Source organism: Homo sapiens, chromosome 7, assembly GCF_000001405.40.
Source record: "Homo sapiens chromosome 7, GRCh38.p14 Primary Assembly".
Classification (NCBI taxonomy): domain Eukaryota; kingdom Metazoa; phylum Chordata; class Mammalia; order Primates; family Hominidae; genus Homo; species Homo sapiens.
Genome location: NC_000007.14, coordinates 92,827,926 through 92,854,270, shown reverse-complemented (window position 1 = coordinate 92,854,270; position 26,345 = coordinate 92,827,926). Strand labels below are relative to the sequence as shown.

At 41.3% G+C, this 26,345-nt stretch overlaps 1 protein-coding gene and 1 long non-coding RNA gene across 6 annotated transcripts in view, besides 6 other annotated features; one reads left to right on the top strand and one right to left on the bottom strand.

Moving 5' to 3' along the window:
- Positions 1 to 17,788, bottom strand: part of CDK6-AS1 (CDK6 antisense RNA 1) — an 80,705-nt gene extending 62,917 nt beyond the window's left edge. For all 3 annotated transcript variants that reach the window (NR_110086.1, NR_110087.1, NR_110088.1), the window contains exon 1: positions 17,708 to 17,788. This is a non-coding gene — a long non-coding RNA (CDK6 antisense RNA 1). The remainder of the gene's footprint in view (positions 1 to 17,707) is intronic.
- Positions 17,396 to 17,755: a silencer, noted in NCBI's record as "silent region_18376". NCBI's record gives its function as "represses an Ori minimal core promoter by ATAC-STARR-seq in GM12878 lymphoblastoid cells {active_cell/tissue: GM12878}" and the evidence as "EXISTENCE:reporter gene assay evidence [ECO:0000049][PMID:35858748]".
- Positions 17,698 to 26,345, top strand: part of CDK6 (cyclin dependent kinase 6) — a 231,653-nt gene continuing 223,005 nt past the window's right edge. The window contains exons 1-2 of one of the 3 annotated variants that reach the window (NM_001145306.2): positions 17,698 to 17,793; positions 20,581 to 21,180. In NM_001145306.2, the coding sequence (NP_001138778.1) occupies positions 20,948 to 21,180 (233 nt within the window). In that variant the 5' untranslated portion in view covers positions 17,698 to 17,793; positions 20,581 to 20,947. Of the gene's footprint in view, positions 17,794 to 20,311; positions 20,469 to 20,580; positions 21,181 to 26,345 lie in introns of those variants that run through there. The other 2 variants (NM_001259.8, XM_047419716.1) reach the window with 2 other exon arrangements.
- Positions 18,206 to 18,285: an enhancer, noted in NCBI's record as "active region_26276". NCBI's record gives its function as "activates an Ori minimal core promoter by ATAC-STARR-seq in GM12878 lymphoblastoid cells {active_cell/tissue: GM12878}" and the evidence as "EXISTENCE:reporter gene assay evidence [ECO:0000049][PMID:35858748]".
- Positions 18,866 to 19,115: a silencer, noted in NCBI's record as "silent region_18375". NCBI's record gives its function as "represses an Ori minimal core promoter by ATAC-STARR-seq in GM12878 lymphoblastoid cells {active_cell/tissue: GM12878}" and the evidence as "EXISTENCE:reporter gene assay evidence [ECO:0000049][PMID:35858748]".
- Positions 20,812 to 21,131: a silencer, noted in NCBI's record as "silent region_18374". NCBI's record gives its function as "represses an Ori minimal core promoter by ATAC-STARR-seq in GM12878 lymphoblastoid cells {active_cell/tissue: GM12878}" and the evidence as "EXISTENCE:reporter gene assay evidence [ECO:0000049][PMID:35858748]".
- Positions 20,812 to 21,450: a biological region, named in NCBI's record as "H3K27ac hESC enhancer GRCh37_chr7:92462135-92462635".
- Positions 20,950 to 21,450: an enhancer, noted in NCBI's record as "H3K27ac hESC enhancer chr7:92462135-92462635 (GRCh37/hg19 assembly coordinates)". NCBI's record gives its function as "activates a minimal SCP1, AML or CMV promoter by ChIP-STARR-seq in naive H9 embryonic stem cells {active_cell/tissue: H9 hESC(naive)}" and the evidence as "EXISTENCE:reporter gene assay evidence [ECO:0000049][PMID:30033119]".

Here is a 26,345-nt window from a genome sequence, read left to right as displayed (position 1 = left end):
ACAATTGCTTTTGATAACATTTTCTTTAAGAAACTTGGGAGTTAATACTGGGTATTGCATTTATAATTTATTTGGAATAAAATATTCTGGTACTTCATGAATGTCCTTAAAAAATCTAAGAAACAAGAAAATATTAGGGCCTTTCCCTAGTACGAAAAAAAAATGTCAAGCCTAGGAAGGAATTGATGTGTCCTTCCAGCTTTATTAGAAACCCAAACCACTGATTATCAGGTCTGGTGTGTGCTGCTTGGTTGCCCTGAACAAATGAGCCACGGACACAATTATAAAAGAAAGACATCAGACTAGGCAAACTATCATTTCGAAAGAATTAAGACAGCCATATTGTATGTTAATTATCAGCTCATCTACCTCCTCCCTGGTGTCACTTCTCTTCAGAGGCTACTTAATCTCATTGAGACAAGACAGCCTGCCTAATTGATACAGAAAACGAACGCCTTTTGATCTTATATCAAACAAGAGTTAGACTAAGAGATGGATACAGCAGGCAAGATGACTGTCTTCCAAAGGAGAATTAACGCTGCAGGAAGGAAAGTAGGAAAGCAGTAATATCTTACTTCGGAATTCCATAGACCAGGTTTACTTAAATAAGGATTGAAAAGTAATAAGTTCATCCCACTGAATGAATAGGGTTTGTTTGTTCTTAGTGATAAAGCACAAAGAATACTGCAGCTGTGAAATCTTTCAAAATTATCGATTTTCAGATAAGTGTTACATTAGTGATGGAAAGCACAATAGAAGTATAATAAATGTGAGAACACCTGCCTTTTAGCACTTAACTGTAAAGGACAGGGGTTTGTTAACATTAACCTTTACTGCTGCCATATACTGCCCCTACTAAATAATTTTCTAGGAAGAGAAGAAATTTCTTGGAAGAGACTTGTGATTTAAATAGCATTCAGTGTGCTTTGTATAGAAATTATTTAGCTACAGGGGTGAGGAACCGGCTTTGCAATGACCAGAGTATCTGTGAATATACTAGTGTGTCTGTGAAGTTATCAGGCCATTATTTATACATCAAGAAAATCGTAGAAAGGGATGTTCTCTATTCTAATGCAAAAGGTAATTTAATAATTGTATCTGTTACAGTTTACATAGTTAATATAACGGTAGTTCGGAGAACTAGTCCAAGAGTATGATTACATGAGTGAGATTAAATAAATGTTGGTATTCAGGGAGAAAATATTAGGAAGAATACAGTGTTTTCTTTTTAGATACAGATGATTTGAAAAATAACATGCTCTCTAGTTTAGTGGTTCTACCAATTGGATCACAGTCTTGATATATATGAAAAACTTAGGATATCTGATATTTGGAAAAGTATATCCTCCCACAAACTGACATTTTTTAAGGCCGGGAACTATGAAGAAATACTACAAAACACTGCCAGAAAGGAATGAAGGCAGAATAAAATAACACCTTTTTCTTACCAGAGACAATATCTATAATGATGAATAACCAAATCAACAACAATTAATATTGATTTAAATGAGTCTGGTAAAAAAAAATATGGTTGTCTGATTAGAATAGAGTATATGAGTGTCTTCAAAATAAATTCTGGCCCTCTTGGGATTTTTCTTCCAGTAATTCACAAGTCCACACTTTAAACCTTTAAACTACTCACTACCAAATTGTCCATTTCTTTCTTCTCATTTAAAATTTACACTGGTTCTTTGTTCTACCACCTTAAAGGCACCATGGCTGCTGTTTACTGAACTCCTATGAGACCCACTTCCACTTTCTAAATTAATGCAGCACGTGGCTTTTGATTTTCCTCCACACCGTTATTCTTCATCGTGACCTCTGACAACTTCAAAATTCATGCTAGGGACCCATGAGATACCTCAACTATATAATCCCATAATCTTGCTACCTGTAATCCTCCAACCCCACCCAACCTGAGTGATGCACCAGCAAGATCATTCGCTGAATTTAATTATTACCAGTGCTAAGAATATTCATTCTCCACACACAATCACGGTTCTACCACTGTACCTCTCCACCTTCCCATCTCCCTCTTTGTTTTCTGCTCACCAAGTTCGATAAACACTAAAACCCTCATAGTTTAATGCATCCATTAACTTTCTATAAAAAGGAAGGTTCTTCTAGTTTCTTCTTTTCAGCCCTTTTTATCATCCTTTCTAACACCGAGTCTCAGTTCTCATTACCCACCATATCAGTGGGCAAACTTACATCATACACACTCTCTAATTTTTCTGCTTTTGCTGATGAGCATTGCTGGAGAAAACCTGGGACTGCCCTGGCTCACTATAACATACTGATGCTAGCTTCCACTGTGCTGGAAACGCCAACAACAATCCTCTGATTCATTGCTGGGAACATTCTCCCTAACAGCTCTACAATCATTCTTACTCACTTACCCAAAGCCTTTTGTATCTTTTCTATACCATTCATGCAACGACTTTCTGAAGCAATCAACTACAAACTGGTCTCATCTACCCTCCCCTCCTCTTCACCTCAATATACAGATGTCTCTTCACTTAACTCTCTCCATTTCCATATGCCTTAAAGGCACTATTACCACCATTTACCTAACCCCCAATCCTATATTTTTAGCCTTGAGATCTCTCCTGAAGTCCAGTGCCACATTAAAAGTTTCTTATAACATGTCCCAGTGCTTAGTCTAGAGCTGGCACAGGGTTGATACCCAGTAGATATTTATCGAATGAATGAATAAATGAATCTATACCTGAATGTGCTACTTTCAAAACAATTCTAAAAAAAAAGTAGAGTTACTGGAAAAGAAAGAAAAAGAATCATCAAAGAGAAAGAATGTTTTATTTTGGGGTAGAAAGCAGCTTTCTGCTCCTTCTACTCCAGCTGCTACTATTATCTTCAAATCTAGTATTGAAGCATTCCAGCGATTTTTTTTTTAACTGAGGTTTTTAGGGTTGTTTGGAATATGGAATTGGGCATACATAAGATTAATCCAGCTGAAATAAAAACAACCTGATTGGATATGTAATATTTTAAAGGGCAATAGTTAAATACATATTACTTAAATACACAGTATATCTAAAGTTATATCCTTATAAAAGCAGAAGGTGCATAAAACCACCCCCGAACCATTCTGATCATGAGCATTCTTTTTGCTACCTTCGGATTCTTACAGTCTGGTGACTACTGTGCTTTCTACGTTCTTCAAATGTATAGGATGTTTATGATAATGTAAAAAATGGTCACTTACCACATTGTTCTATATGCTTCCCCACATGCTGTTTCTATTATGTATACTATTTTGAATTTCTTATGATCTTGTTTAAAATATGTTTATAAATTTTAAATTCTGTTTTTCTGATTTCTTCATCTATGATTTTTTGCCCCTCAAATGTGGATGAATTCCAGGAAGCCAAGATCTGAGCAGGGGAAGGAGAAGAATGGCAAATAAACATCTTCCAGTGTCGGGTTAGGAAGATATTTGATCTTTCAATGTGTTCAACAAATGGGTTTAATAATGCACATTTAGGTATAAAACAGTTCACAACAGAAATATTTGCTACTCAGCCCATTTATCCTGGGAATTACACAACATGGACCATTTTCAATAATTCTTTCCATTATAATGATTTCCTCCTGCTCAAGCAAGAGAGATGTACAAACCAGTTTTGTCTAGAAATGTAATATGTTGAGATACAAATGGATTGAAGAAAAATTAAAACACAAACATTTTCATCACTTTGGTTTGGTGTTATAGTCTTTTTCAAAGTAATTTAACCTTCCTAAAACTTTCCAACAGAATATAAAGTTGCTTTTTATTCCGAATCTATACAACTGGAAAGGCAGATTTATTTTAAAGGCATAGTAAAGTACTGGTAGACCAAAACAAAAGATGAAGATATATTTTTAGGAGACCTGTTGGTTTCCTTTAATTTTGTAGCTTAAAGATCTTGAAGTGCCTTTTGAACAACAAAAAATAACACTATGTTTAATATAAATTTATATTCACTTGATTTTATAGCCTAATATAATAACCCACGTAGATTCTACAGATACTAACTTTTACTTATTAAAATCATTTAATTATGTAGACTTCTTCAAACATTCTGAATGAATATAAGTATAACATCATTCATTTAACCATTCTTTCATTTATTCAGCAAACAGGTGTAGAATGTGTGGAGTAAATTATGAGTTAATTCTCCAAGGAGTTTTTCAAGTGACAGAAAGAATTAACATATATTTACATTTCACCATAACTTATAATAATAATTGTCACAAAAGAGATGTTATAAAAATGAATAAGACTATAGAGATCTGTGATAATTATTTCATTAGTGTGACAATTCAGTGCATCAAATTGTGTGTTTTACAAGGCTGCCCAAATGAAAATCACACAAAGCACTGCCCTTATTCATGGTTTTAGGCTTTGAATTCTCAGAATTTTTTACCATGTTTGCCTAATTCTTGGGAAGCAAAAATTCAAGGCACATTTACTTACTGAGCATGTATAGTAAGGCACTAAGCTGGGCAGTAGTCATATATATTAAAAATAAATAGAGCATGCATGGTCTCTTCACTTGAGGAATTCCTAATCTAATAGAAGAAAGAAAAAAAAAGTGTTTCCACTGAACATGTCTTTCATTCCTTCCTACATTCTCACCATCATTGGAGTTGAACTTTATTAGGCACCAAAGCAACCGCATTATTTTATCAATGTCCCTTAGGAGCAGCAAGCAAGACAATTGGTTATGGTTGATTTTACAGTTAGCCCGTGATTGTTGATAAGACGAGTCAGTGTTTTCTAAAGAAACAGACATTGCTGGTACAACCCACACATGGGTTAAAAGTGCTGAGATGGCATTTCTGATCAACTTGAACGAGGAGTCTTTGATAAAGAGTCTCTGAGCTCTAAAAGTAGGGGCTGCTTGAAAGAACAAAATTCTATCTAGGAAGTGAGAACTGTGAAAGATTTGCCTATGAGGACTCTTCCTGGTGACATGACAGGTCTTTCTCCTGCAGAATTCTAACTCTGTGAATGAGAGCAGAAACAGCAGAAGGAAGAGAGAAGATAGAGAGCTAATGCAGAACAGACTGTAGTGTATGAGAGAGGATGTATAGAAAAAAGTAAGGAAAGGCAGAACTTATAGGCGGGAGGGAGGGAGAGAAGGAAGAGAAGAAAACGGAAAAAAAGGGTGAACGGAAGGAAGCAAGGGCTCAAAGGGTGTGGTGACTGTAACCCATTGGACTCAGTGCAATGCAGTAAATCCTGTGCCAGGTGCACAGGAACAAGGACAGTAAAACTCTAAGGAGTGACAGCTGTTTTTTCAGAAGGAATATTAGTAATAATCATAGCTAACACATACTTACTATGTACCAACCCTGTAAATGCTTACATGGATTAACTCAATAAATCCTCAGTACATAGCTACTACAGAGGCTGAGGAAGGAGGATTGCTTGAGCCCAGAAGTTCGAGGCTGCAGTGAACTATGATTGCACCACTGCATTCCAGCCTAGGTGACAGAACAAGACCCTGTCAAAAAAAGACAAAAAAAAAAAAACCACAGGGAGTCTTATCAATTATCAACTATCTTATCAACTGAGATAAAGAAACTGAGACTCAGGAAAGTTAAGCAACTTACCCAAGGTCACAAATCTAACAAGTGACAGAGCCTGGATTCAAACCAACATAGTCTGGCCCCAGTATCCCTATTCTTAGGCACTATGCTAAGCCTCTCATCAAGCATGCAAGAAGCTGAAGCGATAAGCTGATGGATTGAGACTTGAATCTGGCCACCTCTGGCTTTCAAACTGTTTCTCTCTCTCTATGAGGAAAGACAAATGTTTTAAACAAAACTCTTATTTGTTACACACACATTCCAGTGTAGGAGATAATTTCAATTAATGGAATATACTTACCCTATAGTCTTAGTAATTTTATATTGAATTTTGTCTTTGGTGTGTGAGACAAATTATCCTTAAGTAATACCTTTAACAATCCCAGCTAAAGGCTGCTAGTAGGAAATTGGTTTAATATAAAATACCTAAATTTAAGAAGATTACACTAAGGTACATATTATAGACAGTTATTCTCAACTAGTAAACTGTAACCCAGCCAAGGACAGGCCAGTTGCAAGCCCAGGTATAAAAGGGGAGTTCATTCATTCATTCAAATATTTATTTAGTGCCCACTATATGCCAAATGCTTGTTTTAGCAATACAAGAGCATATATAGCAAAGTTCTTGCTCTCCTGTAGAAAACATTCTGGTGGGTATGGTGGAGGCTGACACTAAACAAATAAATGAATAACCCTATAGTGTGTCAGATGGTGACAACTGCTGAGAACAAAAAATAAAGTGAAGTTAAGATGGAGAAGGGGAAAGACTGGGGTGAATGCAATTTAGGTAGGGTGGTCAGAGAATGCCCCTCTGGTGACTTTTGAGTGAGCCCTGAAGGAAGTGAGGAAGACAGACCTGTAGGTGAAGAGTTTTCAGCCATAGGGAACAAAGTGCAAAGGCTCAGAGGTGTGATGTGCTTGGTGAGTTCAGGAATGGCAAGGGAGCCAGTCCAGATGCCATAGAGAAAGCAAGAGGGAGAGTGACAAGAAGAATCAGAGTAGTGGTGGAGTAGGGTCAGATTGTGTAAGGACTTACAAACCATGGAAGGGACTTAGATTTTACTCTGAGAGAAATGAAATGTCACTGAAGGGTCTGAATACTGAAGAGGACTGATATGATCTGGCTTTGGTTTTAAAAGGATCACTTTGACTGTTGTGTGCAGAAGGCAGAGGGCCAAGGACAGAAACAGGGTGATCAGCTGGGAGCCTATTGCAACACATGCAACAGACCAGGTGAAAGATGAAGGTGGCTGCACCAGTAGTCGAGCTGTGTCTATAAGGCTAGCAGGATTTGCTGATGGATTGCCTATAGCGTATGCAAAAAAGACAGGAGTCAAACTTGGTTGGTAAATTTTTGACTAAGTGACCAAAGAACGCATTTCTTAATTTACTATGATGAAGAAAAATGCGGGTGAAGGAATTTAGGGAGGTCAGTTTTGGATGTGTAAGTTTGAGATGTCTGTTAGACATTTATGCAGAAACATCCAGTAGGCAGATGGATATACATGTCTGGAATTCAAAGAGGATATCCGAATGGCGATATAAATTTTGGAGTGTCAGTATGCAAATAATACATAAAGTCATGGAACTAGATGAGGTCACCCAGAGTGAGAGTGGAGAGGGGAAGATGAAGTCTGAGCACCAAGCCCCAGAATATAGCAATCTAGAGATCGGGAAGAGGAAGATGTAACCAACAAGGGAGGGAGTAGGAGAGGCTGCGAGGGAGGAGAAGAAGCAAGAGAGTGAAGTCCTGGGAACACTGAAGGCAGCAGTTCAAGAAGGGTGAGCAGGGAAAGTGCATGGGACTTTTCCCTTGATGTCTTTTATTTTCTCAACGAAATAAAAAAGCAAAGGCATCATGACAATGAGGCCAGGAAGAAGGTGCTGGAGATTTGGGAAGATAGGAGAAGAAATGAAATAATCTCTGGAAAGCAGGATAGAGAATTGACTAGGGAAATACAGTAGCATTGCCTACAAGTGGTGTGCTATTAAAGAAAGCTGCTCTTTTAGCAAACACAGAAGAGGGTGGATTGGAGGCCAGGTGCGATAGCTCATGCCTGTAATCCCAGCACTGTGGGAGGCCTAGGTGGGTGGATAGCTTGAGCTCAGGAGTTTGAGACCAGCTTGGGCAACATGGTGATACTCTGTCTCTACAAAAAATACAAAAAAAAAAAAAAAATTAGCCAAGTGTAGTGGTGGCAGGCATGTGGTCCCAGCTACTTGGGAGACTGAGGTGGGAAGATCACTTGAGCCCAGGAGACAGAGGTTGCAGTGAGTGGAGATCATCCCCCTGCACTCCAGCCTGGGTGACAGAGCAAGACTCTGTTTCACAAAAAAAGAAAAAAGAAAAGAAAAGATGGTGGGTGGGTTGGGTGGCTCTGATTTGCAAAATTCAATGTCAGACTTGCTCAGCTTCAGTGTCAGACAGAAGATTTGAAGAAGTTGTGGGGAGGACCCTAACAGAGTTAAGGCCAACCCCATGGGAGCATTGGCCTCTAGTGCCTGGTCAGAACAGGACTGCATTAGATAAAGTATTTTCCAGGGTGGCCTAAACAACTGAATCAGAGAATGCCTGACACTCACTGGCGGTTGAGTAGAAAAGCCAAAGGTGAAGGCTAACAGTGAGAAGAGGCCATAAGTTTGAAAAGAGTTTATTAAGTCAGCAAGTAGGAAGCAGTGTAGGCAGGCAGGGAAAAGGAGTTTGAAACAGGTCGGGTTTGTGGTTAGGGTTGAGGCAATGAATACTAGGAGGCTGATGGAAACCCATTTTTATGTGCACAGCACAGGGGAAGGCTTGATAACTTCAATGGGAGTAAATGAGTTTGTAGAGGAACAATTCAACTGCTGATTGTTAAGTCTTAGAAGAAACCTCCAGATGTCAGGCAGGACCAGGAGGAAAAGCTGGCAATGCAAGACAAAAGAACATTGAGTCAAGAAATGGCAGAAGTCGTCTGTCATGACAGCTAAGAGAGAAGATAATTTTGAGAAAAGATTGAAAACCAGTGTTAGAATTGCAGAGCCTAACAACTAAGAAAACCTGCATCTGAGTGCATCAGTGATGGTGTTGGAAAGAACAATTTCATGAGAGTTGAAGGAGCAAACATCCCTTGAAGGTGAAGGAGGCTGGAAGTGTAAAATGAATGCCCACATCTGGAATGTCCACCCCAGACCTTCCATCGGGTAGGTAGCACTGGCTACATAATCTGCATGGTCCAGTCCAAAATAAAAATGTGGGACACCTAATTCAAAAATTATTAAGATGGCAAAGCAGAAATTATACCAAGTCTAGGAACTGTGCTACACTGAAGGACGCATGAAGCTGGCCCCACAGATAGGAAAGAAGAAAAGTAGAATGTCATGTGGAAACAGCAGTGGGTTTCTCTAGGATGGCAGGTCTGAGTGTTATCTTAAGGCAGAGCTAGGCAAAGGTGAAAAGTTCTCTATTCCCTGTGCCACTAGATATTTTTATTTGTCATCTCAAATTCAAAACCTTCATCAAGTCATCTTCTTTTGCCATCTTTCTTTTATCTCTTGTGAGCTGCACCATTTTTTTTAATACCTCAAACCCAAAACCTAATAAGGAGTTTGGTCCTCTGCTTCAGTTTCATTGTCTGCAAAATGGAGATAATTGGGTTTAAATAGGCAAATTACGTAAAGTGCTTAGAGCTATCCTGGCAGGATTCTTCTCATTATTCTGTTTGTCTTATTAGCCAAATCCTGTCAAATGTTTACTTTGAATTCTTCCTGGTAGACATTCTTTTTTTCCCCTCTTTCCTAGACTATTACCCGGGGTCTTTTCACCACTTATAGGATCCTGAAGATTGGCCTCTCTGACTCCCATGTCCTGCGCCTGCAACTGCCAAGTCATCTTTCTTGTGCAGCTTTTGTCCTATCACTGCTCCAAGAACTACCTTTTCTGCTGGCAGATCTCAAATCAATTGTGTTTTCTGCCTAATAATCAGGTTTAAGCTTCCCTGCCTGGATTTCATGGCTCTTTTTGGCGTAGCATGGACCTGGGTGGGTCAGATTGATTTAGCTTCCTGAGCTTCCCATCCACCATTCTATATGCTCCTGTTGAGGGAAGCCATGATGGTGCAACCCAAAGATGGAGACTGAGGGTGTCAGAACAATAAAAATGAAGACCTTTACCAGCCCTGCCTAAGAGTTCATCCTCAAAGGAGATAACATGGAATCCATTATAACAAAACAGGTAAGTAAGATGTGGCCTAGAAGTGTGTACCAGGTGACTTCTGAGGTGGAAAATTATCTGATGACACCTGTGTTTCTTGTGATATATCTTTCATTCAACCTGTACTTACTGTCTGAGGATGCTGGACTAGGACTCAGATATAAAGAAAGTCCTCAGTCCCTCCCACCTTTGAGTCCATCATCCTTTATAGTCCTGTGCATATAGTCCTATATACATTTTTATAGCCTCTCTTAGTAGGAGTCAGTGGAGAAGAAAAGTACAGGAACTATGTGGTCAAGGTACCAGATGGCCTATGGATAGGGATAAGAAAACTGTAAGAAAAAATGGCTGACAAGGTAACATTTGCATATCGAAGGCTAAGAAGCCAAGGAACTGTGGAAGTATCCATGGGAGGTTAAAAAAAAAAGGTGAGGGGCAAGTGTGGTAGCTCCCCTTGAGTGTTTTTAGGGAGAGAGTGTGCAGTAGGAAATGCAAAGTCATGCTAAGCCAAGAAGATAAGGCAAGTGGTAGGGAAGAGATTGACAAGGTGACTGTATTAGTCCATTTTCACATTACTACAAAGATACTACCCAAGACTGGACAGTTTATAAACAAAGGAATTTAATTGGCTCACAGTTCTGCATGGCTGGGGAGGCCTCAGGAAACTTACAATTACGGCGGAAGGGGAAAGAGGCACCTTCTTCGCAAGGCAGCAGGAGAGAGAGCAAGCAAGAGCGGGGAAAATTGCCTTATAAAACCATCAAAGCTCATGAGAACTCACTGTCACAAGAACAGCATGGGGGAAACCACCCCCAAGACCCAATCACCTCCCTCCCTTGACACATGGGGATTACAATTTAAGATTTGGGTGGGGACACAGAGCCAAACCATATCAGCGACAAACAGGGGGACACTCAGCACTTCAACAGAAATGGGAGGGGACATAGTGACTATGGAAGAGTAACCAATGAGGGACCTTTTGCAGTTAGGCAGCAAATTATGGGGTTTTAAAGACAAATGCCAGCAAATATATGGGGTATAGATTTAAGGGACATAATGGGGTGGTCCTTGGGCCACACCAAAGCAGTAAGAAAAGGAAAAACAGAACTACATGGAACGAAAAGGGTAAGAAAAACAGCAAGGAACAGACTAAGGAGATTCAGCAGTACTGGGATAAGATCTGAACAAGAAGGAGAGGTCTCCAATGAGAAAATCCACCCTCTCCTCCATTCCTCACATACCTAGAGTCAGCTGTGGTTTTTGTCAAGGCCCAAGATAATCTTGGGTATGTTGTTTCTTGGGTTGCTTTTCCTGCAATGAGTGGATGTTTCATTCCAGTTAAGAAGAAAGACATGTCCATTAAAGGATTAGTTATCCCCCGAAAGAGAAAAAAAAAGGAAAATATGATTTTGTGAAAGGGATATTGACTGTACACAAATATTTATTAAATGGCCATTAAATCCAAAATGCATATAGCAAGCACTTATTTAATTCTCACACCAGCCTAATGTGGCAGATTATAGTATCCCTACTTTATTGATAAGGGAAATTGGTGATCTGAAAGCTTAAGAACCTAGCCCAAGGTTACACAATAAAGCCAGACTTTCAATCCATGACTATCTCGTCCTACCTACCTATATTTCCCTTCCCTGAACATCTAGAGAGGACCTTCAAACAATGCACATGGTCTGATGCAGTGGAAAATAAGAACGCAGAGAGAACAGCTGTTCCTCTACTCACGTTTTAATAACGGCTTTTAATCAATAGCTCCAGAAATATGCTGGAACCTCTCAAATTCACAGTATATTGCCTTTGACCCTCCCACCCCCACCTTCCCACTTTCTCACTGGAGTCCAACTGGCACTGATGTTTTTAATAGTTTACAAATAAGCTTCATGACACCTTTGAAGAATTTCTGTGATAACCCAAGATTTCTAATCTTGGATATCCTGGTTCTATGTATACTATTGTAATTTATTTATCACATTTTTGTTAATGAGGGCTGATTAATTTATCACTTTTAGCTTTGGCCAAATAATCAAGCCTAGCTGCTCCTTCCCCATCTCTAATGAAAACACTAGTGAATTTCCCTAATGTTTTTCTAGAAGTCGTCATTTCTATTCAGTCTTAAAAACCTACAGGGTTAAGTTAGAGATAACTCAATATAATTCACATTTGAAATCCAGAAACCTCTCTAGGTTGCAGACATCAGAGTCATATCCTCTGATATTACTCTTGTTTAGGGGGTTTATAAAAACAGATCTATAATGATGGCACCTGGCATATCACGCTGCTCAGAACTACAGCATTTTCAAGCTGCAGCAGCTACAGAAATCATCCAGTCCAATCATCTCATTTATTGATGAGGACCTTAAAGCCCAGGGGTTTAGTGTGTTGCCCAAGGTCATACAGGTAGTCTGTGGCCAACTCCAGTTTAAATTTCAGGTCTTTCAATACCCAGAACAGCAACCTCCATTATATCTCCATATCTTCTCTTGTGAAGATAAAATTATTTGTTGTCTCTCTCCAGACTATTTTATAATATCTTTCTGAATGATTAGAAAACCCGTTTAATAGGCATAGACACTGAAGGTCAGAAGAATTAAATGACTGGTCACCGAAGATGCAATGAATAGTAAGTACCGAGAGAGGAAGAACTGGGAATGAAAACACAAGTCTTCTGACTTAGAAATCAAGGATTTTATCTTTTAGGACACAGTCACATAGATATTAAGGATATTGGCAAATAAAATTAGCAATCTTTCCAAACTCTGGGCTATATAGTATCTAGTTTACCTCAAAGTCTGGTACTTGCTCTTTTAAAATAAAATTTATTTAATTGGAATTTTGAGGAAACAGAGACATTTATCTAAACACACTTTCTTTCAGCCAAGATTTCAGGAATTTGTCTTTCAAACAAATGTAGAAATGTACCTAAACACATTTTCTTTCAGACAAAAATGTTTCAAATGACTAATATCGGCAACACAAGAAAAAACACACCAAATTTACCCCAAGTAGCAGGATGACCTGGCTCTTTCCTGTTTAAGCAACATGGAACACTGGTCCTCAACTTTCAAATGTTATTCTAGTTATGTCACGGTGTACCAGTCTGTTCTGTGGCCGCTTGACTCAGTAACACTCCTAGAAGGGGACAAGAACTATTACTGCATTTATTGACCACTTACTAGGGCCAGAGGACACAACAAGGAGTTGGAGGATTGCTAAAGGGATAAGCATGCTGGATGCTCTGGGGAGGACTCAGGGTGGCTTAGTAAGGTAGAAAGCAAATTGCCTCAAGGAGTTAGAGCAAAGGGGGATGTCTTCCAGCTGAGGGAATCTCAAAGGTTTTATGGAAGAGCTGAGCGTGCAAGGATGATAGGACTTAGAGAAGAGGGCTAACAAGGAAAAGAGCTGTAGGTAGAGAAAACACATTTCTGAGGTCCTGAAATCAGCACGTAGATCCTTAAACTTTATTAAGCAGTTCCAAAGAAGAGGGTCTAAAGGATGCAAAGTCAACTTTTCTGTTGACATACAATTATTGGACATAAAATGCTTGCCAGTTACTGTGCTAGGTACCGGGGATGCAAAGATATGAGTAATTTTGAACAAATTTATAACAAGGTTTAGAAATCAAACTATCGCTTCAATTTATGGAAAATGTTTGATCCACAGAAATATGCTATGATATATTTTCTTCTAGGCATTCAAAGAATTCTGCAAAGAATTCCATTCTATGTTATTTTCGGGAAAAATCCAGAATAAGACAACATAAAATAGATTTACATGTGAATATGGAGTCATACAGTATACAACCTCATTTAATAAGACAGATTTAATTGCATAATAGGATAGACACAGAAGGCCATTCATCCTGAAAGAATCGGGTTGCCTGGCTACGCCATACCTATAAGCACTGAGGCTGCATCTCTCAGCCCCACGACCTCAGCATGTGCTTCCTTCACTTGTCCCTGATGCCAGGCCATTCATAGAAGTTTCTCCCCGGGTGCCTTCTTTGTCCCTCCTCCTACCTCTGAGATCCCACTTTATCATCGTTCACTCCCACTGTGTTATACCTCCACTGCTGCAACTGAATGGTCTATCTAAAGCATGTAAACACCTTTTAGCTCAACCAAAACCAGCTATGGTAACACAATTTTTAGGCCATGTGTGCAGCTGAGATGCAAGTATTATCTCAGAAAAGAAATGTTAGAAACCAGTGAAAATTACAGGTCACTGTAAATAGAAAGAAAATATAGGTATTTTAACGTGATTATCACCATCTTTTGTAAGTATATTTCCATAGTTATTTTTCTGATTACTCAGAATTCTAATATAGATGATGAAAGAATCTTAAGAACATGTTTCAAACATGTCATAACAATATGCCAAGAACATACAGGTATTCACACACACACACACACAAAGGAAAAAGAAGATATGGGTGTCTATCAAAAGGGAAAAATTAAAAAAGATGATGGCAATTATACAAATATGAACATAGTACTGACATGTTGCACAAAGAAAATTATAGAGTAGTAGAACCAATGGAAGCAGCATGTTCCAAAAGACAGTAATGTTTGTTTTTTCCTCCTTAAATGTTATAAGCTACTACTTTATATCTATTTTTTCCCTCATGGCAGATATCAAAATCATTTCAAGTTTCACTGCTCAAATGCAGTGCAATAGATCACATGCAACAGTAAAAACAGAAAAACCCAGGTCATTTCCAAATTGACAGAAAGAATTTATTTAGAAGACTGAACTTTAAAAATCATTTAAAGCTCAGAATTTTACAATGCAAAAAGTTGATAATACAATTGACTTTTCCTAAGCTATTTAGCAAACTTTCGGTAATATAGTTCAGGGGAAAACCCAAGAAAATATCTTGGAAATGTCTGAGAAGGGAAAGAAGAATGCATTAAAATGTACTGCATTTATATTATGCTATTTCTGTTAAAATTATAGTTTCTCATGATTATTACTCAATAAAGATAACATGTACACAAACACATAAATCAGGTTAAAAAGTAGGGTAACTTGTTTCAAGGTTAAACTAGAAGTGTATTTTAAAATAATTGTGTAGTACATTATAGCAAAATCTCATTTCTGAGTTTCTGGAAAATATATTTTATAAACTCAAATAGCCAATATAAATCAGAAATGAATTAGATTTAGGTGTACATTATATAATTATTATTTGTAACTAAATTACACATTTCCTTAACAAGTTAAAAATTATAGACCAAAATTTAAAATTTTATGTTTATTTTAGTGAAAACAAAATTGTACAGGTATTTGATATATAAATGTTCACACATGAAATACATTCCTTGTGTGACATTAAGAAGTCTTTCAGTGTAAGTTACACCACCATATTTGGAAATAAGTCCATGAAATGTAATTTTTAAATACCTGTAAGATGATTTGCAACTTTAGAATATCTGGTATGTAGTGTGAAAATACTGGTTGGAGTCATTATTCTTGAGTTCTATATATTAATTCTCAGAAGACTCCTAAACAAAGAAGTTGGAATTTGGTTCACAGTTTAAAAAGTTTGAACATATTTTCTTATGATAACCTGTTACCCACAGCAGAAGTTATCCATAAACAAAAATAATCTGGTATTTACTAATTTTATACAATCAATTGTAAAACTGCCTTGGGTCTGAAGCTTTCACCAACTGGGACTTAATGTGAACCATAAGCAGGAAGAGTGAACAATGATAAATTAACATAAAAGATAGCAGTATCAGGAAAAGAAGAGGACAGAGAGTTAACACTCAGTACTAACATATATAATTAAATAAAGTTTCATTGTTTTTTACATTGTCCAAATGATCTAGTAACCTAAATCATGGAATTTCTGATCTAGCAATGGTTGTTGTCAAATTCAGTAACTAAAAATTCAACCCAGTGTAGAAAAGACACTTCTCTGTTAATTTAATATTTGTAGCTTACTATTTTTTTAATAAATGATTTATTCAAATAAATTCTAGCCATGATGTGCTGCTTCCTATTTGCTGGCAATTATTTCTGGATTATATAAACATGTTAATTACCAGCAAGTAAATCTTGTTTTAAAAGGCAAATGATAAGTGTGAACAATTATCAAAATGGAGGATTCCCACTTGTGTCTCTGGCTTAAAGTCTAATTAGTGACTTGTAGTGATCCAATATTTTTATGTAAATATAAAATCTAATGATTTGCCTTCTTAAATTTATAAGGTATATGAGATTATAGATAGCTTTATAAATACAAATTTTGTTCAGAAAACTGGATCTTATTTTAGAAGACATGCTCTTAACACAAATGTATTTTATGAATTATCTTAAGCTTAAAGACATACAATTATTCACTTTTATTTTTAAAGAAAAAAGTATTATAATGCATTGCAAAATATGTGCTACTGAAAATGCATCAATTTTTATTTCCCTAGCCTTACCTCACACTATAACATAGAATCAGTTTTATAAAGGCAAAAATTTGATTTACTGTGAGATTAGTAACATGGTTTTAAAGTCAAAAGATTTATAGAAGTAGTATTTCCAATTCAAACAGAATTTTGCCAGGTTTTAATTTTTCTACAAAGCACTTAAGTAAATAATTTTGTGAAAAGTTTTGCTTTAAGATGTTTTAAAGGGTTTCAAGTATTCTACAGATAGAGATTTTGGGGAGAACACCAAATTCTTTCCAAAAAGACAGCTATTTCAAGTTTTCTTTTACTCCATTGTAGAAAGTTTTAAAGACTTTTTTTTCTCCAAAATCTAATTTTCACCTGAAATAATTGTATTCAAGGGTTTCTCAGCAGGTAAAGTATACATTCTTACAAGGTTTCAAATTTCAGATTTCCAATAATGCATTTAAACTGAGCACTCCTCTTTTTGTGTATGTATCTACTATCTGCAGTTCTATTATTTACACTAAATTTTAGTCTTTTTAGCTCCTCTGAAATACGTTAGTGAACCCTCAGCAGTTACTAACCACTTAATAATTGTGAGCCCGCCAGCCCCTTCAAGTAGATCGTTAACCATAAGAGTGCCTGACAATTTCCAAACCATATCCTCTGTCTAAAAGGAAAAGATAGGGCTTTGTGAGGCAGAAAGGAAGCGAAGGAAAACAAAACAAATGTAGCTCATGCTGAAAGTGAAAAGTGCTTGGATAGATTAGTATTTTCTTTTCTGCAAGGCATCCTGCCAAACTTTTTCTTTATTTTTTTAAGAGAAGAGTTATTTTTTGGTCTGATTTTTCAGTTTCTTGGAAAGTATTGGTATTTACCACCCCCATTGGCCGCTCATAATTATTGTTGGTTGTTTTGTGTTTTTCCCATCCGTCCACGTCACACAGTGAGGATGCCCCCCGCTTCACCCTGTCAAAACCCCAACTCTGGGCGACCCTGGGTTTGGAAACTCCGCCGACTCCCGACGACACGTCCCACTCTCTCCCACTAATGCCGCTTATTTTAGTCGCAGGATCCCCCTACTACAGTTTCAGCGAAAGCCGGAAATTTTCATTTAACTCTCCCCCCCACCCCCACCCCCACCGCGCCCTTCTAGCCCCCGACTCGTAGAAGGGAGCTAGGGAGCCCGGAGCTCGGAGCACTGCCGGGACTCGGCCGCCTCATTTCTCTCCGGAAGGCTTTAATTTGCACACTTTCTTGCCACTGCGCCACGAGCCCCCAGCCCCGCCGGGGGGTGGGTCTCCGGCAGAGTTGGCTTCGCGGGTCCCTGCCCCCACCCCGCACGGTCGCCCCAGCTGCCTCCCCGGCTGGGGCCCCCAGCGCCGGCCGGAGCCCAGCGGCCCCCGTCCGCCCCCAGCGAGCGGCGCGGGCGGCGCCCTCCGCCGTCCCTCCGCCCTCCGCCGCTGTGCCCACCCCCTCGCCGGAGAGAGTGCTGGTAACTCCTTCCCCAGAGTCTGATTACCTGCTCCGCGAGGCCGCGGACACGTGCGGAGAGCCGACTGACACTCGCAGCCCCCTCGGGAGGCCCGACGCGACTGGGCCCCTCAGGTGAGGAGCTGTGCGCTCGGGTGGGTGGGCTGCGGGGTGGGGGGTCCCGGGGGAGATCTGGGGGATTGGCCGGGGTCCGAGGCAGAACTGTGGGTGGGGTAAGTGGAGGGTGGCGGGGGGTGGGGGGGACCTGTGTTTCCTTGGAATCGGCTTTGGTTAACCCCTTACGAACTGAGACGGGATTGGTTATGGGGGCCAGTTTTGGGGAGCTAGAGGATTCTCCTTATCTGATGAGAGGGGGAGATCCCAGCCTAGGGACACCCGCGACACCGAGATCCTGCTTCCACGTATCCGTACGCACACACACCCACACGGAACACGCCTCATACAGTTTCTCCAAACGGAACTGGAACTCTACTCGGACACTCACATAATAATTCACATTTAGGGTTTAAAATGCACTGCCTCTAGGGACTCCATGCTGGAGAATGTGCTTGCATTTCCCCCTCGAAAACTCCCTCTCCAGCTCGCTGAGGTGTGGGTGTGGGCTCCACCTTCCCCTCCACGAGATAAATGTTAACGCAGGCTTCCTGCGGGCGTGTTATACACAGAAAAGTGCACGCAGCCGGCCAGTGCCCAGGCTTGGAGCCCCGCGAAGACGCACGTTTGCTGTAGTTTCCAAGTTTACTTTTATAATTTAAAATATTGGAGTTAAACACACGCCCCGCAGTGAGCAGCCCTGGTCCCCGCAGCGCGCCCGTCCGTGTGCATATGGGCGCATCTGCGTGTGCGCACACGCGGGAGTCGCGGTCCCCGGTGTGGCCTCTTGTCGCTGTGCTGGTGGCGACCCTTGTGGTGCTTGGCAGGCTTCGGGAGAGGCGCATGAAGGATTTCATTGAGTGTGAAGACAGAGAGCAGAGACAGAAAGCAGAAGGAGGCGGCTGCAGCCTTTGTAGTCGCGGAGGAATGCGGAAATGTTGAAGCACTATGTCAAACTTTTTTTGAAATGGGGTCAAGTCACATTCAGCCAGCGTGGGAAAGCAACAACAACAACAAAAAAAAGTGGAGGAGAGGGGGGGAAAAGGCATTGCTGCTCCCGTTTCTCTCCGCCGAAGCCGACCGTCTGGGGGGCGAGTGGGGGGAGAGCCAGGGCAGTGCGGGGCCCGGCGGGGGCAGCAGGCGCAGTTCCCTGCGGGGGTGGGACGTCCCCGACGCTTCCTTCGCTGCGGAGCCCGGGGCTAGACTCGAGCGGGAGGGGGTTGGGGGGATGCAGGACAGGCGGGTTGGGCGGCCGGCGGCGGCTCCCCGGCTACCTGTGTGGCCCTCGACCTGGCTCAGACCCCCGGGCAGTCCCTGGGGGCTCTTTCCTCGGCTTTTAAGGAAAGTTCTGAATGTAGTGAGTGCCAGAAGCTCTGCTCTCGCCGCGGTCCGCTCCACCCGCTCATCGTGGGGGTCGCGCCGTTTGTTTAATTCCTGGCAAAAGGCGAGCGGGCCAGCGGTTGCGAGGCAGGTAATTCCGAGGTGCCCCGGGAATTCCGGACATGCGGCCGTCGTGGTGAAAGTCCTGCCGAGGCCGCGGCGGCCCTGGAGGAGGGAGGCCCCCTAGGTCCCAGATAGCTGCTGAATGGGGAGGGAAAGTTAGGGTACCCTACTCTGGCGCTTTGTTGTGCAGAGGGCTCCGGGGGCGTCCGGCTGCAGACTGGACCGGGCCTTTAGCCGGAGGGGGAATGGGGCAGCCACCTCTGCTACCTACAGCGGGGAGGTCCTGGGAATGGGAAAAGGTTCGCGAGTCCGGGCCCCGAGGACAGAGACCTTCTCTCTCACCCCTGGAGGCGCAGGATTTAACCCCCCACCCCCCACCCTTTGAAAGGGAGGTTGAGTTTTGCTCAGGTCGAAATCAGTTTAAAACTTAAGGACGAGGCGCGATTATGCTATCCCCTTCCTGAAGTTATTCTTTAAGGAGACGACAAGCGAAATTGTGGCGAACACCCCTTTCTCCCACCCTTGGGATCCCGTGGGGGACGGTGTCTCCCCTCCCCCAGGACCGCTCGCTCGCCCACCCCCGATAAGCCCCAACCCTCCCCGACCAGATGGCTGGTCTTCCCAAGGTTTCCACCAGGGAGGTCCTCCCAGCCGGAGAGAGAATTCCGTTTCCAACCGAGACTCCTTTACCCCAAAAAGACCATTTGTGTATGCGAGTCGTTTTTAAATGTCTCCTCGTAGAAAAACTGAAAGTAGAAAGAAAGGAAGCAATTTCTGAGCAGATGTCTGACCACCCCTTCTCGCACACTCCCAGCATCGGGTTACAGGGTCCTGGGAGCCCCCACCCACATTCTGCGGCCCCACACGGATGGACCCACAGTCCTTCCGCTCCAGCTTGTGCGCGACCCCTGAACGCCCTCCGGCACCCCTGGACCCCGTCTCCCTGCACGTCCGGGCCTCAGGAGGCGGGGAGGGTAGCGGCGCAACACAATGATATAGGGATAAATATTAAGCCGTGACATTGACGTGCCCGGCGCCTCCCCTCCCCCGCGCTCCCGGCACACTCTGGGCTGCTCGGCACGCCCCCTCCCGTTCCACTGCGTCCCGCGCCGCTCGCTCATCCCCGAGGGGCCCCTGCAACCTCTCCGCGCGAAGACGGCTTCAGCCCTGCAGGGAAAGAAAAGTAACTTCGCTTTTCTCGGAGGAACCAGGAAGGATTAAGCGGCTTGGGAGAGGGCAGGAGCGCGCGGAGGGTAGCGATGGAGGCTTCGTAAAGGAGGAGGAGGGGAGTCTGGAGGAACCCCGAGGAAGGCTTCTGGGCTGTCTGATTGCACTTTCTTCTTATCCTCCCGTCTCCTCCTTTAGGTGCAATGATTCTGGACTGAGACGCGCTTGGGCAGAGGCTATGTAATCGTGTCTGTGTTGAGGACTTCGCTTCGAGGAGGGAAGAGGAGGGATCGGCTCGCTCCTCCGGCGGCGGCGGCGGCGGCGACTCTGCAGGCGGAGTTTCGCGGCGGCGGCACCAGGGTTACGCCAGCCCCGCGGGGAGGTCTCTCCATCCAGCTTCTGCAGCGGCGAAAGCCCCAGCGCCCGAGCGCCTGAGCCGGCGGGGAGCAAGTAAAGCTAGACCGATCTCCGGGGAGCCCCGGAGTAGGCGAGCGGCGGCCGCCAGCTAGTTGAGCGCACCCCCCGCCCGCCCCAGCGGCGCCGCGGCGGGCGGCGTCCAGGCGGCATGGAGAAGGACGGCCTGTGCCGCGCTGACCAGCAGTACGAATGCGTGGCGGAGATCGGGGAGGGCGCCTATGGGAAGGTGTTCAAGGCCCGCGACTTGAAGAACGGAGGCCGTTTCGTGGCGTTGAAGCGCGTGCGGGTGCAGACCGGCGAGGAGGGCATGCCGCTCTCCACCATCCGCGAGGTGGCGGTGCTGAGGCACCTGGAGACCTTCGAGCACCCCAACGTGGTCAGGTGAGCCAGGGAGCTGCGCCCTCGCCATCTGGGGCCTCGCGCGCGCGGGGAGGGCCGAGCCGGGAATCCTCAGGCCCAGAAAGGTGCGGGGCAGAGGGCGACTGGGGAGGTCCTGCGCGACCTGTTGGTCTTACAGAGTGAGAGTTAAGTTTTGTCGACAGAGCCGCGAGCCAGAGCCGGTGACCTTGCCAGACAGCGAGCCGAAAGACAAGTCAAAAAAACATGACCTGAGCAGGCTTCCCTGCAGCTGTGCAACTTAGAAGCGTTTTCTCCCTGCCCACCCTGAAGGAGGGTCTGGGGGAAGTGGGTGCGTTTTAGGGACAGGATAAGCCAACCTGAGACATGCCCCGCTAGCCCCCGCATATTTTTCGTGGCCATGCCGTTGGGGAATTTTTGAAAGACAGAGTAGGTGAGACTGGAGAATGAGGATGCCGTGTGATAATCAGTGGGAACTTTATGGGTGGAGCCAAGTGTAAATCAGGTTAACAAGATGCAGAAACATCATAATATTTTTGCCAGTCATACTCTCAGTTTCTCTTTATTAAAGTTGCGTAGTAAGAATGACTCCTGGTGGTCTAAGGAGTTTGAGTGCTGATGCCCAATCTCAAACAGCGTCATAAAAATTTCTTCCAAAACTGTTATCCCTGTGTCTGTTTTACTTTATATCTCTGGGCGGACATACTCTTTAGACTAATTCTCCAAAGGGTTAAATGTGAGTCCAAGATGTGGTATGGTTAGATCATAAATGTTCTGCCCATGCTTTTCCCAGATGGATTGTGCGAGTGGGTGGGGAGACAGCAGTTCTTACTCTCTCCTGTGTGGTAACCAGTATTAAATGAAAATGTGTGACTTAGGATAATGGTGTTTTCTTAGTGATCCTGGAATTTCCCCATTGTGTGGTTGACATTGTTTGGTTGTGTCATCCTTTTCTTTTTTAAACAGAGATGCATAGCTTTACATTGAAAAGGAATGCCTAGAAACTTCTGCAAATTGGGTTGTGATTTTACCTTTCTCGATCTTGAGAAAATGTGTAGCAGAAATATCTTTTTTCTCATCCATTTAGGGCTTCTGTTCAACAAATACATGCCTACTGTGTGCGCTGAGGATGAAATGATGTAAATAAGCACAGCTAAATATTTTTGTAAAAAGTCAAACAATTTAACATTAGTCATCAAAGTGGAGAGACCCAAGACTGACCTTTGAAATACCAAACTCTCTACAGACTCAGAGAGACCAAATATCTACAGAATCTTCTTGGGAGGTTTTAACTTGTCTCCTCTTATCCCAGGCTGGTGATTTGTGCGGTGCTTTGTTCCCAACGCAGTTTAGACTCAAGCTAGAAGGCATCAAAGAATCATAAATATATAAATAAGGCAGTAAATGGTTATAAAGTTAAGACCGCATTATACCTCGGCCTAGCTAGTGAAGGAGAATGAGTGTTTTAGAAGATGAGATTATATATAAAAACCTATAGATGACTTTTTTTCATGTGTATTTTATTTGTTAAAAACAACAAAATCCGTTTTTGGGGCTCTTTGTGATATTGGAGGGAAAAGGGGAGGGTATATTTAGCCCCCTGTAACTCAGCTGTCGTCCTAGGGGAATCACCTAATACATCCCGAAGGATGAATTCCACCACTACAATTTTAAGACGGAAGTTCTTGTTTTATTTTGTCTGTTACCTATGGAGTATCCAGTTAAGGGTGCTTATCATGTATATGAATGAATAGTGTCCTTCCAAACGTAGAGGTACTACAGAGGCACCCCTGTATAACACTATTGTTTACAAAGCTTACGCCATTCTTATACCAGAGGCACACTTTCTGCCATTGTGCTTGTAGATTTTGTCTGATCCATCCTATTCTCTTGATTTATCCTCCTGAGATTGATGTGTTTCTAGACGTTTCTAACTGACCCATGACTTGGATTCTGTACTGTGAATTTCAGGAGGATATTCTTATGAACTGAAGACAAAGGCATTGTTTTCTAAAATTATTTTTACGTGTTAAGGTGATGATGGCACCTACCTGTTAAAGTCGTGAGAATAAAATGAGATGGCGTATGTGAAAGCACTTTGTAAATTTGAAAGTACTTCAGATATCTAAAGGATTGTTTGCGTTTCAGCAGATTGATGGTCTCTTGCCATGGAGCAGCTTCACAGGGAGGGGTCAATTCACCTGACCTTTTTTGTAGAACAAATCATATTCAAACCCAGACATTACAGGCTCTGGAACCAAGAAGATCCTTGAGGATAATTAGCCTGTAAGATGTCAGAAAAGACTCTCAGTCACGAGCCATGAAATTCAGTGATACTTGAGGAAATTATTGATGATGTCACCCTCATGAGCTACAGATCTTCATTCCCTTTTTGTTTCCTTCCTGTTTCTTCTCTTCTGCCTCTGCCTTGAAACAACCATTGGTCCCCATGACTTGCTTGGCCAGACTAAGAATTCTGGATTTTAGAGGCTGCGAATATTTGCTCAGACAGGGTCAGGAAATAAGGACAGTTGACAGCAATTCTTTTCTTTCCAAGGGAGAGTTGTCAAAGTTGGGTCCCCAAACCTGTGATTTACTATTGCCCCTGGGATTAGTTTTACAGTCTTAAGCCTGGTTCTTTAATGGTTTCTTAAAAGGGCAGATGCTTTTATAAGTACCTTCAAGTCATAAGTAATTGATCATAATTATAGGCCCTCCCCCACAGATAGTTAAGCCTCTAAGCTAACAGGAGCATAATAAACATATTAGTTTTTTCAAAAGTTTAAGATTTAATTTTGATGGATTTGCCAGAAAAGCTGACTTGTTATTGCTGGCACTGGTACTGCCTGCATGCACAGGGATAATGACTTGAAATTCTTGCTTACCTGCATTTGATGTATCCCAGGCCCTCGCCTGATCAGCCAGTGAGTGTCTGGGAAGTAAATTTACTCTTTTTTTACATTTGGTAATCCCAAATCCTGGAACCTTTGCCAGAATAGGACTTCACTGTGAACCTGTATTGGAGTTTCTGCACTGCACAAATGGATCCTGTTTGAACAGCCTGAACTAAAAACAATAGAGATAAAATTATAGCATGTTTTGTCAGCAGTCTGTTCATTCACCAAATATTTACTGAGGGTCCACTATGTGCCAGACTCTTCTAGAAGGTGGGGATATAGCAATGAACAAGCCTGGAAAAGTCTCCGCACTTGTAGAACTTGCCTTGTAATGAGATGAGCAGTTCTTTCTTCTCTTTAAAAATTTACTCATCTTTGTTTTAATTGCCTTGTTTTGTTATACTTAACCTAACCAGTTTTATAGAACAACTGATATTTCTGATAATTCGGTTACCAGGAATTTCCTGATTGAGTAGGCAACATAACCAAAAGGCTAATCAGAATCAAGTGCTTTTTGAAGATTAAATTTTACCTCCCTAACATAGGGATTGATCTATATGAGATACTGACACATAGCTAATATAAGTGAACATTTGAGCTCCATTTATTCAAAAAGGATTTAGGAAGGGCATATGCTTTAAAAACCATGGGGCTAGGTGCTGGGAAAGATACCAGGGTAAATCATACCTAGCTACTCTCCTGAAGCAGTTCTTCCCATGTTTGAAGGAATAAGATGATCACCATAACCCTGATACATGATAGGATCATGTGCTGTAAGAAAGATACAAGCCAGTGCTTACCTGTATTGTTTCTAGGGATTATATTTATTAGTGTAACAGTAAAAGCAATTCAAATTCAAGTATTGGCTCTGGAAACTAAAAGTCATTACATATCAGTGAATAAACTTGTGATGTTTAAATATTATAATTAGAATAGTCACTGCTTTAAAAACAAAACAAAAAACCCAAAGAAAAGGCTGTAAAGCTTAATGATTATTCAAGGAGAGTTTTCTAATTTTCTCTCTTTTTTAAAGATCTTAGTAATATATTGCATAAAAGGTGAGTAAAAATGTGATTTTCTCTGGAAAACCTAATTGTTAACAGGGTAAAAGAAACATGACATATTTGACTCTGTAAAGCCAGGTCTTCAATTGGATTAGTTCATGAGAATCCTTCTGAATAAAATTGCTATTTGTGTGGTTGAATAATACATTTACTAGGGCTTTTTTCAATAAAAGCAGGAAAAGCAGGAGTTTAATTCTCCTTTTAAATATCAGTATGTTAAAAGTATGTTTGTTCTTTCTGTCTCTGAGAGTTCCTTGAAAAGTTTCTGATTTTTCAAGGTTGTTTAGTAAATAAACATTTTCACAATGGTATTCTGCTCATTTTTTGTTCCTACAGAAGAACTTGATAATGCTGAATTTTTGACATTGCAGTTATATCCCTTTTATACAACCACTATCAACATAGAATTATTAGAATCTCTCTATGGAATCAAGGACAAAAAAGGTCTATAAGAGGAAAACTTGTATAAACTTGAATATCTTTGAGGATATTTTCCTATGTTTAAGACATGGGTAAATGAATATCTATGCAAATAGGTTCCTATTAAAAATAAATTATTTCTTTTTTAAAAAAACAAATGTCTCACTATTAATGATTTCTTAGGAAAGTTTTTTAAGAAGGAAACACAGCATACATGCAGCCTATCATTGTAAAACCATGGATATTAGGGTTGGAAGACACTCTGGAGGTCAAGCTACTTGTCTGTCATGCCATTTTAAAGTTATTGACTTGTTCTTAAAACTAAGTAGCAATTTTTGTTTGTTTGTTTGATGGAAGCAGTTAAATCGGGTGAGTACATTTCTAGTTTGGAAAAAATGAACTGTATGTAGACAAAAGTGACAGTTTGCCAGGAATGAATGACATAACGATAAATGAATAAAAATTCAGTAAATTCCTGAATTCTGCAGTATGCCATACTGAAGTATATCTCTACAAGAGTATTATTCCAGTAAATTCTTCTTTTAAGGAAGTTGTGCTATAATTATGATAATTTAAATTAATTATAATAATTTAAAATAGCTATAGTTAAATGATGATACAGGTAAATTATGCAGGTAATTCATTAATAATATTGAATTCATTTTAGACAAAGAGGAGTAGGAAAAATTGAAACACTTAGTACTTGTCTGATGAATGAAATATTACATAATGTGGCTCTGGCACATTATGTAACATTCTGGTTAATGAAATAAAAACATCATAATACTTAAAAATTAGATGGCATAAT